The following is an 18283-nucleotide window of genomic DNA, read 5'->3' as shown; positions in this document are numbered from 1 at the left end:
TCTCAGCAGTGTTAATATAAGGCAGGAGAAGATTTAAAGAGGCTTCTTCTATCCCTATTTTTTTTTACAGTACTTAGAAGTTTTAATCTATTTTTACATTTATGAAATTAATTCCCCTAGAATTTATTTTGCCATAATGTGTGAAAATGTAACTAGTTTGTTTCCTGATAATTAGTCATGTGTCCCAATACCATTTACTGAATAGTCTGTCTTATCCACAATGATGTCAATAAAACATTTTTTAACATTTTTTAAGCATATATTTATGTGAGCTTCTGTATTTTTTGTTCTGGTCCACAGGTTTACCCTCTATTATGATGGTGACATCAGACAGCTTTTATCACTGTAATTCATTAATTTTGAAAACATTTCTCTAATTAACTGTTCAACAAATATTTATTGCAGGTCTGCTTTTTATAAGACATAATAGCTGACACTATGAGCAAAAGAGACAGAGCTGTTGCCATTATGTGGCTTACAGTTTAATGAAGAAGATGGACAACAATCTCACAAGTAAATCTATACCTACAAAGTATGAGAAGTCCTGAAAAAGGAAGGTACAGGTAACTGGGAAGGAATACATGATTAACTCTATGGTGTCAGGGGGGCTTCATTCCCTCCAATTAATGTTTTCTTCCAGAATTTCCTTTACTAGATATATTCTACAAACGTCAGATATATTTTCAAGTTTTTAAACAAATTTGATCCATACTTTAATTAGAGTTGAATTAAATTTGTAATTGAATTCAGGAAGATTTCATGTATTTGTAATATTAAACATTTACAGCTAAGCACAAGGTGTATTTCACTTTAACTATGTATTTTTTGAAAATCCCATTAGGAAGTCAATTTTTTTTGGATGAAACTTGGATACGTCTTAATAAATTTGATATCAGACATTTAATTATTTTTGCTGTAGTTGTTAATGGTATCTGTTTTCATATGATTTTAAAAGTCACTTACTGGCATACAGGATAGCTACGAAGACTTGCATATTTGATGATATATGTCATTTAATAGTAATATTAGTAATATAGTAATATTCTATACCATATAAGTTGTCTATTGCAACTGTTTTTTATTCTTGGTATTTCTAGTGGATCATCAAATAATTAGTTTTTTCATTTCAATATTCATACTGATTTTTAACATTTTAATTGATTTTACTGGCTACCTCTTTCTTAGCATTGTAATATAAAATTGATGACAGATAGCAAGTGTGTTTGTCTTTTTCCTGACTTTAGGTTGATTTAAATGCAATTCTTCTAGTGTTACACAAACATACATGATGCTAATTGTTGGTTTGCTATAAAGTTTATAGTGTTTGGAAATATATTTCCAGCATAGTAAAAGTATTTTTAACTAAAATATAAATGTTCTTCAAACTTATCAAATAGATTTAAAGCAATGAAGGGGATGCTCATGCTCATCTTTTTCTTTCTGTCCTAGAGGTATAGTAATTTATATTAATAAATTTCCTAATATTGAACTATCTTTGAGTGAATAGCTGAATTCTATCTCCAATCATTTACTAAAAATATTTGTACTGTATTTGTGAGTTTAATCCATAGTTCCCTTATTTTTTCTTTCTTTTTTCTTAATCTTTTATTCATCCTTTTATTCTGAAAACAGCATTTCTGATATCAGAATTTCCAGACTTTTCTTATAATTGGGAAATTTTTTCTCTTTTATTCTATACAAGATGTTAGATGACTTAAGAATTTCTGTTTCTTGAGGTTTTTTTGAATGACGTTATCCAAAAACTTCTGTGTGCCTAGCGGCTTTTAAAGGGGAAGCTTCTTTGATAATTTTCTTTGATAATTTTTTCAGCATTTTCTATAGTCAATAATCTATTCAGGTTTTACTAGTTTGTAATAATATTTGGTCATCTATATTTTTATACTAGTTAAATTCACTAATATTTATCAAATGTTGTCAGATGTGCTCTTAAAATCAATTTTATTTCTTCTTTGTTTGTAATTATATAAACTTTACAGGTTGAATTTGGAATATTTTTATTTTCCTTTTTTTTTTTTGAGATGGATCCTTGCTCTGTCGCCTAGGCTGGAGTGCAGTGATGCAGGCTTGGCTCACTGCAACCTCCGCCTGCCGGGTTCAAGTGATTCGTCTGCCTCAGCCTCCCAGTAGCTGGGACTACAGGCACGCACCACCACGCCCGGCTAATTTTTGTATTTTTAGTAGAGATGGGGTTTCACCATACTGGCCAGGCTGGTGTCAAATTCCTGAGCTCGTGATCCGCCGCCTCGATCTCCCAAAGTACTGGGATTACAAGCGTAAGGCACCGCGCCCGGCCTTTTCTTTTCCTTTTTCCTGCTTTTGTTGTTTGTTTGCTGTTTTCTTCCAGCTTTCCAGGTAGGCTCAGTTAATCTCACTCTGTCCCTTTGGTTTCTTGCTTAATAATGACAGCCCTTAAGGTAAATAATCTTTCTCTAAGAATAGTTTTTGGCTACATCTTATGTGCTTTGGTAGATAGAATTCTAAATTATTTTTTATTTTCTAAATAATCTATAATTATAGATCTGATTGTTTTTTAACTCAAGTGTTATCACACACGTACATTAATGTGTATATGTATTTTTATTTCATATATATGTATAAATATATGCATATATGTATATATATTTAATACTGAAGTCAGAATATTTTTGTGTTTATAAATTATAATTTTATACTTGTTTAGAAATTGTGATAATTTCTAGTTTTATTTTATTGTGGTTAGACCACATGGACTAATGTCGGAATTTATTGAGGTTTTCCATTTTTAAAAATATTCTATGAGTACTTAAAAATAATGTATATTCCCAATTTTTGTGAATTCCAAAGTCTTGGTGATTTATTGGTTGGTCTATTTGGTGGTAGGGTGAAGCAAGGAAACTACTAAGCTGTTCTCTCCATCAGCTGGCTTCTCCACATCTCTCCAAATTTATCATTCTCAATCCTTATGGCTGCTTCTTTTTAGGGAGATCTAATCTAGTCCGACTTTCTTTATACATCTTACTTTTCCCTGCCTGGTTTGCTTTTGCTATTTCTTTACTCTGTCTTGTCTTTGAAGTCTCTACTAATCCACAATCAGCAGTTCATTTAAAAGAGTCATCCTTTCATCCTTTTACCTCCTGGCATCCTCACCTAACTAACCCATACTCTCTCTTTTGCTGAGGCTGTGGATGGCAAACGCCTTTAATTGCCTACTCCATAGTGATTTTCCCATAATTACTGACAGAACTCTGCTTTTGTTTATCACAAATATATGCCTAGCCCCAAAGCAATGGATTGTGATTAGGTTAGACCAATTATGGCAATCCTGGAACCTACTATTCCAGATTACAATTCAGGTAAGTGTGGCCCTGCAACTCAGATAAAAAAGAATAGTATTTGGATTTGCATGGATTTTGAAAAGCATTTGGAAAAGTCTGCTAGACAGTATGATTTGGGGGAAAGCTTTAACTTTCTAAAGAGATTCACTGCCTTCCCTAATTTCTTTCTGACTTAAAGGAGAATGTGATGATTTGAAACTATTAGGAAAATGTTGAGAGAGCTGCAGAAACATTGGCACTCGTCAATATACTAACAACATTTCAGCACCAAACATCCTCTATAATGTATATCCCTATTTAAAAATATATAAAGAAAGAATTATAGTTGGGCTGTTTTGTTACTTGCAGCCAAATGCATTTCTAACTGCTAACAATATTTCAGCACCAAACATCCTCTATAATGTATATCCCTATTTAAAAATAAAGAAAGAAAGAATTATAGTTGGGCTGTTTTGTTACTTGCAGCCAAATGCATTTCTAACTGATACATTAGATTTATATCCCCTTCTGTGTTGCGTTATAATTATCCTTCCATTTCTTTGCATATATTTAACTGTCTTAACTAGTTTGAAATTACTTATATTCAGGAAATTTTCTTATTTTTAATTTGTATCTGGAAATAGCTTAAGTCAGAACTCAGCACATGATTAGCATTTAATTATGCAATTACTTAGCACAGCTAAAATGTATTAAGTACTCTCTATGTACTATACAGTCTTTTAGGTGTTTTACATATATTCATTATTTATTCTCCAAAACCACTGTATAAGGCTACTATTTTTATATTCCCATTCTCACAGATTAGGAAGCTAAGGTACAAGGTCATACATACCTAACCCATGTCCTGTTTAGGAAAAAAAAGTGCAGCTCGCTGCCAGCACTCATTTCTTGGGGCAAATGGAAAATGGGTTAAGAGGCAAAGCCAAAGTCTGAACTGAAGAAATCTGGCCCCAAAGCCCATGCTCTCAATAACCAGATATACTATCTCTTATTTGATACATGATTTCAATTTTTTTAATTTGGCAATGATTTTTTGCATACCCATATATTTGGCAAACATACAAACACACATGCCTACTCTCACATATATAACACAACCCCCAAAGAACTCTTTACTTGATATTACAATCTGTTTAATAAACAGTCATCCTTTTCCAGGAAGTCCCTGTTTTAGTAGCTCTGGTAAATCGTTGAGTCCCTTCTTCATTCAAAAGATTAATTTCAGCATTTTCCCTCAAAGGCTAGCTAAAACCAGAACCTGCCACAATTCTAACTACTAGATTGTTTCAAAACAAAGGTAGTCATTTTATATAAAATAAGATTTGACCTGAATCTTCACCCTTTATTGGACTGAACCCAAAACCTCAACATTTCTGAAGCTTTGAGAACGAACTTCGGGTTGCTTCCTCACTTTTGTTTTTATACACCTCTTCACTCTTTGGGTTTGTCCAGGATGAAAAACTGAGTGACCAAAATAGCAGAGAGAAGATGCCCTTCGAGGCCCAGTAGAGCCAAGAAATAGTAAAAATTTAGGTAGAAAGCTGCTGTTTTTTAAAAAAATTTATAGTGTCATTTCTAAATCACTATTGTTTAAATAGAAAATCAGACGTTTATGTGACTAACAAAATATAATGTTATTTTATTATAACAAAATTTTGGACTCTCTCACTAACAAACATATAGTAAATTGATTAATGTAGAGTCCCTTAAAACATTACAAGTTTTGTGACCTTGGGCAAGGCACTTAACCTGCTTAGCCATCTATAACAAGGTTAATAATGGTGACTACAGCTAGGATTGACATGAGTTATATATGAGCTGATGCTTATAAGGTATCCTCATCATTATTGTCACAGAACAGCTAATATGTACATAGTTCTTACTATGTGTCAGGCTCTATTAGAAGTTTTTTTAACATATTAACTTGTCTAATTTTTACAATAACACTATGAGATACCTGCTGTTATCTTCATTTTAAGAGATGAACAAATTGAGGCACAGAGTGATTAAATAACTTACCTAAATTCACACTGTACATAAAGGATTCAAACCAGGTAATCTGACCCCCATGCCCATGCATTAACCACTGCACTCTAACATGCTCTCAGAAATAACCATTCTTATCACTACATTTTTCAAAATAATGCATAATTATTAAAATTAAATGATATTTCAAATCAAAATAAATATATTCAACATAAACAACCTCTACAGAGAAAGCTGAATTGATGTCTGAAATCAAAATGGTATAGACCTAAAAGAATTTAGGCAAGGCATCTGTATATATGCATGTAGATATGCATATATCTATATTGTCAGGGGTATCTGCAAAAACAGAATTAACTTATGTTTTTATTAAGCTGTTTATTTTGAGATAATTATAGAGTCATATGAAGTTGTAAGAAATAACAAAGAAAGATTTCATACACCTTTTCCTCAATGTTACCCAGAGTAACATCTTGCAAAACTATAGTGCAATATCACAACCAGAGTATTTATTTATATATATAGACAAGATACAGAAATTTCCATCACCGCAAGGATCTCTCATGTTACTCTTTTATAGCCATACCCATGCCACTTCCACTCTTTCCTGGCCTTAGCCCCAAATCACTGATCGGTTATTCACCTCTAGATTTTGTTATATACAAATATCCATATTTCTGAAAGTTTTCACAAATACAAAGTGGCTAATTGATTTTATGAGATTTTGAACTTACTTTGTGTTTATTAGATCCTCATTATCGCCTTACCAAATTGTCTTTAGTCAGGATAGGAGTGGGCTTAAGTGTGAATAATGAGAGAAGTAGCAACATAATGACATAAACAAGAGGATGCTCTACTTCCTCTACAGCAATCTCATTCCTACATATGACTTCTGGTTTCAACAACAGTTTTGTCATTCGTAAGTGTGAAACACTTTTTAGAAGATTTACATTCCAAGGTCTTATATTAATAAACTTTCATTGTAATAACATCATATTTCTGCCATGTACATTGTCGTTTGTGAAACAAGGAAACATAAAGGATTATCTAGGAATGTCAAAAGAAGTTCATTTACCCATAATGAAGGAACTTACATTACTAAAGAATTCTGCACAGAAGTCTCAAGATTTCATATAGAGAGTGACCAACATATCCATAAGCAATGCATAGAAGACAGAAGTTAGTGTGTGTTTGTAGGAGTTGGAGCCATGGGTGATTTATTATTTTATACTTTATTACCTTTTCTGATACTTGTATAATAAGCACACATCACCTTTATGATAGAAAATCATACTTTTTGACAGAAATATGATGAATTAATTTTTCACATTACATGCCACAAGGGCTGTTTTTCTGGAGAAGAAGATATGCAAGTGTATGGAGTCCCTGCATTTAACTGTGGGTGTTTCTGTGTGTCCTGACTTCTTGGTATATTATATTCTAAAAACTGCTTTGCAAGTATTTACTAGAAAGGAGTGATTATCCTATTTATTTTTCTAAATCAAGATAACACTTGAGTTTATTAATAGGCCAGTAAAAATTATATTGCACATAATGCTGCTCAAAATTTGCCTTTTACACTTTTTAAAACATTATTTCCAAGAGACTCTAATGAGTTAAATTTTATTGACATCATATAAGTTATAGTATGTACAACATAGAATGTCAGAATTAGCAATAAATTACTTGATAAGAAAATGTAATCGCTCTGAATTTGTTTATATTCAATAATAAATTATTCTTACATTTTCTTACTCTTCATTCCTATTTGAACAACTCAAGTTTACACTTCGGTTCTCCTGAATTTCTTCTTTCTAGCTTTTGGCTTTATGCTTTGCGTCAGTTTGGTGAATAGTTGAAAAAGTAAACAATAAACTTTTTTCTTTGCTACTCCTTATCCTTTATTTTGATCTTTTTAAACATCTTTGCCCTTTGGTATTTGGAAAGATAAGTGTAATATCTGATATACAAAATGCATTTCTAAAATGATCTAATCGACCAATCCTCAGAGTCTCCAGTTAAGCCAAATATTGCAGTGGTGAATGGTGTACAAAAATAAAAATGTAAGGTCCTTAAGCAAATATAATATTTTTCTAGACTGATCTATACCAAAAAGTCTTTCTTTAGGAACTTACTTATCAAGCAAGCATGAGTGCCCCAAATAATAGCATGCAATTCTATCATTCTGAATATTCTACTGATGGTCAATATTCTGAAGCCAGTCTTTTCCATACATAACTCCTCCCACCTTGTCAAGAGGATGTGGAACATCTGTATAGCATTAAAGGGTAGAGTAAATGCTTCCTCTTCTCTTCAAAGGCAGTTTTGTTCTTTTTGTTTGCTTGTGTTTTCAGCCTAGATACTATGAAGGCAGTCATTTGAAATGTATACAGCCGATTCTTTGTTTAAATGTGGAAGTTGGCACATAGCAAATTCGCTGACTTGTTAGCTCTCTCTTTTTTTGCCTTAATAGTTTGATAATGATTTTAGTGAGCTCACAGAAAAAAGTCACTTTTCTTGTATCTACGCTTTAGCTGCTAGCAAATAGATGGTCAGTAATTCATATCTCAGTAACCTAATAGGCATATTTGATTAAAGTTTATTTAAGCCTTTTCCAATAGGTGCTCTGTGAAATGAAGCAAATAGGAGAGCATCCATCTGATTGGGTTGACTTACCAGCCTCAGCACATTGAGGTGAAATCAAGCATCATTAGGGATTATCCAATACAATTTTAGTGCCTGCTTAGAATTAGGTAGTAGTCACTCAGGAAAAAAACTAGAAACATTATGACTTATGTAGCTTTCAATCCTAGCAAATTACACATTTGCTTAACCTTACCATGCCTGCAAAAGAAATTTTTTCAAAGGTGCTAATGGTCAGACAGCCATGCGGCTCTAGTATAGAAATCAAATTTGTTTGCTTCAGAATCAAGCATAAACAGTGTTACACAAACTGCTCGAGGCTATCTAATGGCTCACCTTTATCCCCCAGCTGAAACCCCACCTGGTCTATGGGAGCCCTGAGTCATCATTCTGTGTTAATGCATTCTGTAGCTATGCATCAGCACCTCTTACTCCTATCCAGAGGCAACTAACTCAGTTTAAGTTCTGTTAAAGTTAACTTAGGAAACATGTAGCCTATAAACAGGGGGAGCATTTGGGAATGTGTGTGTGCATGTGTGTGTGCGTGTGTGTGTGTGTGTGTGTGTGTGTGTGAATGTACTGGCATCTATTAAAACAAAGCTACTCTATCAAAAGTGCTCCATTGTAAGGGGAATATGCGGGCTAATTCCCATATTTCTGTTTATTTGTTTAACTATTAAGTGACATAATACTTGCCTGTAACATTGCTATCTCTATTATGAATGACATAATTATCTTAATTCTCAGTTTTAAAAGTCCTCTGAGCACTTTTTTTCTTCCTTTGTGAAAATTAAAACAGTTACTTCACTACATGCTCTATTGGGATGACTGACAATTGATGAAAACATACCAAGCTCCCACAAATAATTTTAATTTCCATCCAAAATAAAAATGTGTTAATTCCTCATGCCTATAACAAAAATATTTTCATAATGATACTGTTTACACAGATTTAATCGGTTGTGTCACTGGGGTACAGCAAAAACAGCAATGTGACCTGCTGAGATTTAGCACCAGATTGCAATTTACAATCAAGGCAGCAAGAGTCACTGAAGTGCATAGATCTTGCCCCAATTACTAATTAATCAGACCCAAAGAGGCCTCCATAAAAGGCATGACATTCAGCTGTGCATCCCATAAATGTAAAGGCCTCTTCTATATTGTAAGGAGGAAAGGTGACCCACGGAGTCAAATCATTACATGGTACCTCTCTTGTACAAAAGCTCATCCAACACATTCCATTGGGTGCCTACTTATCTTTCTCCACTCCTTTTTTAAATGTTCTGAATACAAAATTTCACACTATGGCAGTAGCCCAGCATCATTAAAATGTCAGTATGCTGGTTTCTGTATAAAAACAAGTGACTGGCTTGCTTTTTTGAGTTTCTGTATCTGTACAAGTCTTTTTTCCTCTGCAGCTAGTGTCTATAGAAAATTATGGGGTATAATAGGTAAATGTATTTTAAGAGTGTGTTGGGAATTGTGGGGAATAGCAATCAGTGTAATTCAGTTCAGTCCAACTTCTACCCAACTTCCTCAAATGAAAAATATATTTGATCCCCTTCACATGGGGATCAGATAATAGAAGTTTTACGAACTGCTGTGCTTCGACAAAAAAGATTCCAATTGAGTAGTCTAAAAGAAAACATGCGTTGCTGACTTGTTTATTTTAACCATCTTTAAAATAACGAGCCGGATTCTCATTTTTCTTCCTTTCCTGGATCCCTCCTCTATGTGGAGCATTCCCTTTGAAGTAAATGTCAGCCCTGGACCTAGAGGAGATCTGCAAGGGGAAGGAGCAAAATGAGAATCAGGCTGCTGATTTCAGATTCTTGATGGATGGCCTGGCCAAATGAAAGCTAAAATGATTTGAGTCATGTTGCATTAACCACACATTGTTCTGTATGGGCCACCCTTACACACAGGATCAGACCTGAAGGCAGGGATATTAATACCATCATATGTGTGCAGGAAGAACGACCAATTGCAGAATTGATAACTACTTTATCAGAGATTTTGATGATGCTATCTGTCCCCACTTTTGCTTACACGGGATTTCTGGAAACTGTCATGAAACAGGTATCATAAAGCAAATTATGTTTTTGCAGAGGAAAGGTACAATGACAGGAATTTTGCATTCTTAACCAAAGATCACATTGTGTAAATCATAGCTGTAGCAAAATAAGCTATGATAAGGTAAAAATGCAACAGCTATAAGTCACGATAAGATTTTTTTTTTCTTTTTTGAGAAGGAGTCTTGCTCTGTCGCCCAGGCTGGAGTGCAATGTTGTGATCTCGGTTCACTGCAACCTCTGCTTCCCGGGTTCAGCAATTCTCCTGCCTCAACCTCCCAAGTAGCTGGGATTACAGGCGCCCGCCACCATGCCTGGCTAATTTTTGTATTTTTTAATATATACCAGGGTTTCACCATGTTGGTCAGGCTGTTCCCAAACTCCTGAGCTTAGGTGATCCACCTGCCTCGGCCTCCCAAAGTGCTGGGATTACAGGCATGAGCCACCATGCTCGGCCCATGATAAGGACTTAAAACAGCTTACTTATGCTTCAGGTCCTAAATGCACATTGTACACTGAGTAGAGGAGGGATCACAACATCCATAACCTGGTATTTTTAGTCCCTGTCTGCCATTAAGGGGCTGTGTGATCAGGCATGAACATCCCCCCCAAACTCTCTCCTTGTCTATAACCTGAACATACCATATTATCACCATTTACGGTATGTATCAATATTCTATTGAATTGCTAGTATTTATGTTTATTTATTTCCTTAGCACATAGAGGAGGAATACATAAAATCCGTATCACTTAAAAAGTAGATAAGGTTTGAGCTGATATGTTTTCTTTCTCTTGATGACTTTCTCTTCTGTAAATAGAAATGGATGATGAAGATGGTGGTGGTACAATTTCAACAATAATTTTCATTGTATTAAGAATTTAGCATGTGATGAGCATGCTGCTAAGTGCCTTCTGGTCCCTTTTGTACCCTCACAACTCCATGAGGCTTTTATCACCCCCATTTTCACGTGAGACAACTGAGATATGAGAAGTTACATTACACTCAGCTAGCACTTTCCACCTCGACTCACCCCAATGTGGGGATAAGAAAGAGCTTTTTTACTTGCTTTTAAATTCAGCATTTTATTGACCCCCAAAACAGGGCAAACACTGCTGGACAAAGTGGATTGTTTCAGGCATTTCATGTATTTTTTTCTTGTTACTGTTGTAGCTGATGGTTTGATTCTTCCACCAGAAAAAGTACTTCTGCACTTCCCTACTATCGAGTCCCCTCAAAGTTAGAACAACTGTTTAATTCAGACCAAGTAGCACTTACCAGAAAGGAGGAAGGGCAGATAAAAAATTCTCGTGTGACCTTTCTGATTACATCTCTTGAGTGTGTAACAGCCATTACACACTTAGGGTCCTTATACACTTAGTTGGCAATTCATTGAGAGCATGACCATGTCATTAAGCTGACTGCTTTTGAGTTTAGATCTTGTTTCAGAAACTGCTGAAAAGCAGGGCCAGCTACATAATTTACCTGGACCAAATGTAAAACAGCCACCTGGGATATCAATCTCCCCTTAGCATGGGTCACTGCCCTCACCCATAGAGGATGGGAGACCCCTCAGGGATTACTACTTCTGTGCTAGAACACCCTTGGCATCTAGTTCAGGGTGGGCAACAGGCCCCCAACAAGCGTCCTGCCAAATGCACTGTGGTGCTTCCAGCTAGTAGCCAGATGGATAGTTAGGATACCATGAGGCACCCCACCCTCTCCAGTGCCCAGGGCACCTCAGTGCAGAGAGTGGAGGCAGACTGTGAGTTCCTCCATCCTACTCCCACCTCACAGGACCTGTATCCATCTCTTCTGGAGGATAGCAGAGGTATGGAGGGAGACCTGGCAGGGTCTCCTGCCCCACGGGCAGCTGAGACTCTGTTGGGGGTGGGGGATGGAAGGTGTATGGAAGAAGAGTGAGAACTAGACCACACTTGCACCGGGGTTCCCCACACTCAGCGCAGGCTCTGTTGTTCTGTTAAACTTCACTTGCAAAACACAAATTCCAAGACAAAAATTAAAAATTTCAAGAGGACCACCAGAGAACATTAAACCCCAAGTACTGAAACCTTGTGAGCAAAGGTGCTGTATTACTACACTGGTCACACACCCATGAGCCAGGCTTGCTAAATGGTTGTTCAAGACTATCCACAGGCTGGGTGAGGTGGCTCATGCCTGTAATCTCAGCACTTTGGGAGGCTGAGGCAGGAGGATTGCTTGAGGCCAGGATTTTGAGGCAAGACTGGAGAACATAGTGAGACCCCATTTCTATAAAAAATTTTTACGAATCAGCTGGGTGTGGTGGTACACACCTGTAGTCCCAGCTACTTGGAAGGCTGAGGTGAGAGGATTACTTGAGGCCGGGAGTTTGAGGCTATGGTGAGTTATGATCATATTCTAGCTTGGGCAACAGAGCAAGACCTTGTTTCAAAAAAAGAAAAAAAAAAAAGAGACTAAATATCAGGCTGCGTGGGAATAAGTGAAGTTGAAGTACTAAACCAAAGGAGGAAATTGACTTAATTTGCATTAAACATACTATTCCACAAATTCTGTGGGGCAGCATGACTAAATTGTGCCATTCTGTCTGTATTAGTCAGGGTTCTCTAGAGGGACAGGACTAATGGGATAGATGTGTATATGAAGGGGAGTTTATTAAGGAGTATTGACTTACACAGGTGAAGTCCCACAATAGGACATCTGCAAGCAGAGGAGCAAGGAAGCCAGTCTGAGTCCCAAAACCTCAAAAGTAGGGAAGCTGACAGTGCAGCCTTCAGTCTGTGGTCAAAGACCCAAGAGCCCTTGGAAAACCACTGATGTGGGTCCAAGAGTCCAGAAGCTGAAGATCTTGGAGTCTGATGTTCGAGGGCAGGAAGCACCCAGCATGGGAGAAAGGTGGAGGCCAGAAGACTTAGCCGGTAGAGTCCTTCCTCTGCCTGCTTTTATCCTAGCCACACTGGCAGCTGATTAGATGGTACTCACCCAGATTGAGGGTGGGTCTGCCTCTCCCAGTCCCCTGACTCAAATGTTAATCTTCTTTGGCAACACCCTCACAGACACACCCAGAAACCATACTTTGTATCCTTCAATTTAATCAAGTTGACACTCAATATTAACCATTACACTGTCCATCACTGCTCTCTCTTCAACCATCTTCTAAAACGTCCTTGCCACTTCCCCACTGAGATAACTTACAAGGGCAAGCCAGTTGCTCCCCAGAATTGCCATCTTGGTTATTTCCTTAATAAAATTTATCCAAAAGGAGCCTTTTCCCTAAGACGCCAGAGATTCTTACAAAAATACGTTTAGTCGGCCAGGTGCGCTGGCTCACATCTGTAATCACAGCACTTTGGGAGACCAAGGCGGGCGGATCCCAAGGTGAGGAGATCGAGACCATCCTGGCTAACATGGTGAAACCCCATCTCTACTAAAAAATATTAAAAAATTAGCCGGGCGTGGTGGCAGGCACCTGTAGCCCCAGCTACTCGGGAGGCTGAGGCAGGAGAGTGGCGTGAACCCGGGAGGTGGAGCTTGCAGTGAGGCATGATTGCGCCAATGCACTCCAGCCTGGGCGACAGAGCAAGACTCTGTCTCAAAAAAAAAAAAAAAAATGTTTAGTCATCAAATATATACAATTATGTTTTTGTATAACTTAGAATGCTCACCTTCTCCAGAAAAATTACATTCAAATATTAGAACTTCTATAATATGTAAAGCATATTTTAATTGCAGGTTTTTAGAACCATATTCACCACCATAAACCATAATAAATTTGTTAATTATATTTTAGTCACCTTTCTTTCTTTCTCAGAACTTAAACGGATATTTTGGTCTGTTTCTTAATATTTCTTCTGTGCAGTTGTAGGAAACCTAATTTTCTTTTTTCTATTCCAGTGACTTATGATGATGAAACATCATATGTATAAAGTGTGTTAAATAAAGCATATTTACACATAATTCTGTGAGCTGGTTGGAATAAATGTTATTGCATTAATCTTATAAATGAGGATAAAAATGGTTCTAAGGCCAAAAAAGAGCCTGTATAGCCAAGACAATCCTAAGCAAAAAGAACAAAGCTGGAGGCATCACGCTACCTGACTTCAAACTATACTATAAAGGCTACACTAACCAAAACAGCATAGTATTGGTACCAAACAGATATATGGACCCATGGAACAGAACAGAAGCCTCAGAAATAACACCACACGTCTGCAACCATCTGATCTTTGACAAACCTGACAAAAACAAGAAATGGGGAAAGGATGCCCTATTTAATAAATGGTGTTGGGAAAACTGGCTAGCCATATGCAGAAAACTGAAACCGGACCCCTTCCTTACACCTTCTACAAAAATTAACTCAAGGTGGGTTAAAGACTTAAATGTAAGACCTAAAACAATAAAAACCCTGGAAGAAAACCTAGGCAATCCCATTCAGGACATAGGCATGGGCAAGGACTTCATGACTAAAACACCAAAAGCAATGGCAACAAAAGCCAAAATTAACTAACGGGATCTAATTAAACTAAAGAGCTTCTGCACAGCAAAAGAAACTATCATCAGAGTGAACAAGCTACCTACAGAATGGGAGAAAATTTTTGCAATCTATCAATCTGACAAAGGGCTAATATCCAAAATCTACAAAGAACTTAAACAAATTTACAAGAAAAAAGCAACCCCATCAAAAAGTGGGAGAAGGATATGAACAGACACTTTGGAAAAGAAGACATTTATGTGGCCAACAAACATATGAAAAAAAGTTCATCATCACTGGTCATCAGAGAAATGGAAATCAAAACCACAGTGAGATACCATCTCATGCCAGTTAGAATGGCGACCATGAAAAAGGAAACAACAGATGCTGGAGAGGATGTGGAGAAATAGGACGTTTTTACACTATTGGTGGGAGTGTAAATTAGATCAACCATTGTGGAAGACGGTGATGATTCCTCAAGGATCTAGAACCAGAAATACTATTTGACCGAGCTTTCCTATTACTGGGTATATACCCAAAGGATTATAAATCATTCTACTATAAAGAAACACGCACATGTATGTTTATTGCAACACTGTTCACAATAGCAAAGACTTGGAACCAACCAGCCCATCAATGATAGACTGGATCAAGAAAATGTGGCACATATACACCATGGAATACTATGCAGCTATAAAAAGGATGCATTCATGTCCTTTGCAGGAACATGGATGAAGCTGGAAACCATCATTCTCAGCAAACTAACACAAGAACAGAAAACCAGATGTTCTCGCTCATAAGTGGAAGTTGAACAATGAGAAGATATGGACACAGGGAGGGGAACATCACACACCGGGGCTGTCAGGGGGTGGGGGGCTCGAGTAGGGATAGCATTAGGAGAAATACCTAATGTAGATTACGGGTTGATGGGTGCAGCAAACCACCATGGCATGTGTATACCTATATAACAAACTTGCACGTTCTACACATGAATCAGAACTTAAAGTATAATTTAAAAATTATTCTTAAAGAAAAAGAAAAATGACAATCGTATATGATTCCCATACTTTTCCTAACTTACAGTTCTGTGAAATCTAAACTTCAGAAACAGTTGTTTATAATGGAACATACTAAAGATCATACATATGTCTTTAAAAAGGTGGTTCCAAGGTTCTGATAATTTGCCTAAAATTATAGGAGAGTGGATGTCTGAGCTAGGTGTAGGCCCCTGGCTTCCCAGTGCTGGGCAGCTCCTCCTCTTCACTGTCTACATGTCCTAGGATCAGACGTTCTCATAGCACCATGTGGCAAGGCTGGTGGGTGAAGTATGTTCATAGGCACCTGCTTTGTGCTTGGTGCTTTTCATGTGATCACAATGTCTCTTCACTACCTCCAAAATATGTAGAATTGCCTGAATACTGAAAGGTTTTTGCTTTGATTTTTTATATAATCTCCCTATGTCCCAACAGTGGGAAGAGTGAAAACTTTCTGAAACAAAATAGAGCATAAACTAAGCCATGTAAAATAGAACATAGGTCATGTATTTGTGACAGTAGACACGACACTCATTTTGTGAAAAGTTGGTAAATTAAAAAATGCCTAAGTGTCTTCGTGTGAAGGCCTCTGCCAGAGAGAAGTCAGAACATCTGCACACAGACCATTATGTTCCCAATATCAGGTAGGATTAATGCTTTAATGTATATATAGGGAGAGTGAGGCTCAGAGAGATTACATAGCGTGGGCAAGATCACAGGGTTAAGATCCAAACACAAGTCTTTGTGACTCCAAATCCCACACTCTTTCGCACTCTCCTTCATGTTCAGGAGAGTATGTTTCTTGAGTTCTCTCTGCAGAAGACATCATTGTGCAAAGAAAGCTCTGAGCAGAGCAGGGAAACCTCCTCAGATTTTTCAGCCTGTTAGAATCCAGACAGTGAGAAAGCTGCTGCTTTGATGAGCTACAACTGCATTCTGTTGCTGAGAACCTCAGTTCCCCAGTGTGTAAAGAGGGTGAGGGTAGGAGGAAAAGCAACACAGTTCCAAAAGAATAGTGGAGTTGAATACTGAATTCAAGGACAGATACAGAAACTCACATTGACTCATTCATTAATGAATGAAAGGTGAATATAAGAAGGGTATATTAGATTACCCTAAATAATGTTCTAATCAAACCAAGGGCATGGGGCAGTGAAATATGTGTGAATGAGGAGGACAGAGACTCATGTGTGCTGTATGTCACAACATTCTGTGCTATGCTTCTTTTAAATCTACAAAGTAATTCCTTTAATGTCTTATGCTTTTCCTCTATGGCACATCCTTTCTTTGAGGATCAGGAATTATTACCAGTTCCATAGCATTCTAGGAATCCCTGATTACTTGTACAAAGCTATAAATACTGTGCATAGTCTATGTGCCTATTAGAAATCTTATTAGAAAAAAATTGACAATGGAACCCCACGTTTGAAAGGGTGAAATTGGAATGTGCAACACATCATATTTCTTCTCTGCTGGCAGAATAAGTGAATAGCATGTCTCTTTTCCATACCATTTTTAGCTCTAGAAGTGAAGTGAGTATTGTTTCACAGGAAGGAAGTACAACTTCTGCAAGACCACTTTCATATCAGATTTTTTTTTTTGATATTTTATTTTAGGTTCAGGGATAGATGTGCAGGTTTGTTATATAGGTAAGTTGTGTGTCAAGGGGGTTTGGTCTACAGATTATTTCATCAGCGAGCTGATAAGCATAATACCTGATATGTAGTTTTCTGATCTCTCCCTTCTCCCACCCTCCACCCTCAAGTGGGCCCCAGTGTCTGTTGTTTCCTTCCTGGTGTCCATTTGTTCCCAAGGTTAGCTCCTACTTATAAGTAAGAACATACAGTATTTGGTTTTCTGTTCCTGCATGAATTCACATAGGATAATGGCCTCCAGCTCCAACCATGTTGCTGCAAAGAACACGATGTGACTCTTTCTGTGGCTGTGTAGTATTCCATAGTGTATATATACCACATTTTCTTTGTCCAGCCTATCGAGCATTTAGGTTGAATTCCACGTCTTTGCTATCGTGAATAGTGCTGCAATGAACATACACATGCATATGTCTTTATGGTAAAACAATTTATATTACTTTAGGTATATACCCAATAATAAATTGCTGGGTCAAATATTAAGTTATCTGAGAAACTGCAATACTGCTTTACACAATGAATTAATTTACATTCCCACCAGCAGCGTATGAGCATTTTATTTTCTCTGCAACCTTGCCAGTATCTTGTTGTTGTTTTTTTTTTTACCTTTTAATAGTAGCCATTCTGACTGGTATGAGACAGTATCTAACTGAGGTTTTGATATGCATTTATTTAACAATTTGTTATAATGAACTTTTTTTTCATATGCTTTTTGGCTGCATGTGTGTCTTCTTTTGAAAAGTGTCTGTTCATGTCCTTTGCTTTCTGATGAGGTTGTTTTTTGCTTGTTAATTTAAGTTTCTTATAGACTCTGAATATTAGACCTTTGTTAGATGCATAGTTTGCAAATATTTTCTTTTTTTCTGTAGGTTGTCTGTTTACTCTGTTGGTAGTTTCTTTTGCTGTGCAGAAGCTCTTCAGTTTAGTTAGGTCCCATTTGTCAATTTTTGTTTTTATTGCAACTGCTTTTGGTGTCTTCATCATGGAATCTTCATCAGGGACTACATCAAGAATGGTATTTCCTAGGCTATCATGTAGAGTTTTTATTGTTTTAGGTTTTACATGTAAGTTTTTTATACATCTGGAATTGAT

At 36.8% G+C, this 18283-nt stretch overlaps 1 long non-coding RNA gene across 2 annotated transcripts in view; it reads left to right on the top strand.

Moving 5' to 3' along the window:
* LOC105373831 (uncharacterized) overlaps positions 1–18283 on the top strand; it is a 279396-nt gene that overhangs the window by 218387 nt on the left and 42726 nt on the right. The window contains exon 3 of one of the 2 annotated variants that reach the window (XR_923760.2): positions 406–669. The exons of the other annotated variant lie outside the window; for it this stretch is intronic. This is a non-coding gene — a long non-coding RNA (uncharacterized LOC105373831). Of the gene's footprint in view, positions 1–405; positions 670–18283 lie in introns of those variants that run through there. 2 annotated transcript variants of the gene reach the window in all.

Source organism: Homo sapiens, chromosome 2, assembly GCF_000001405.40.
Source record: "Homo sapiens chromosome 2, GRCh38.p14 Primary Assembly".
In the NCBI taxonomy this organism is placed as follows: Eukaryota; Metazoa; Chordata; class Mammalia; order Primates; family Hominidae; genus Homo; species Homo sapiens.
The sequence above is the reverse complement of the archived record's forward strand: the minus strand, read 5'-3'. Positions and strand labels throughout refer to the sequence as shown.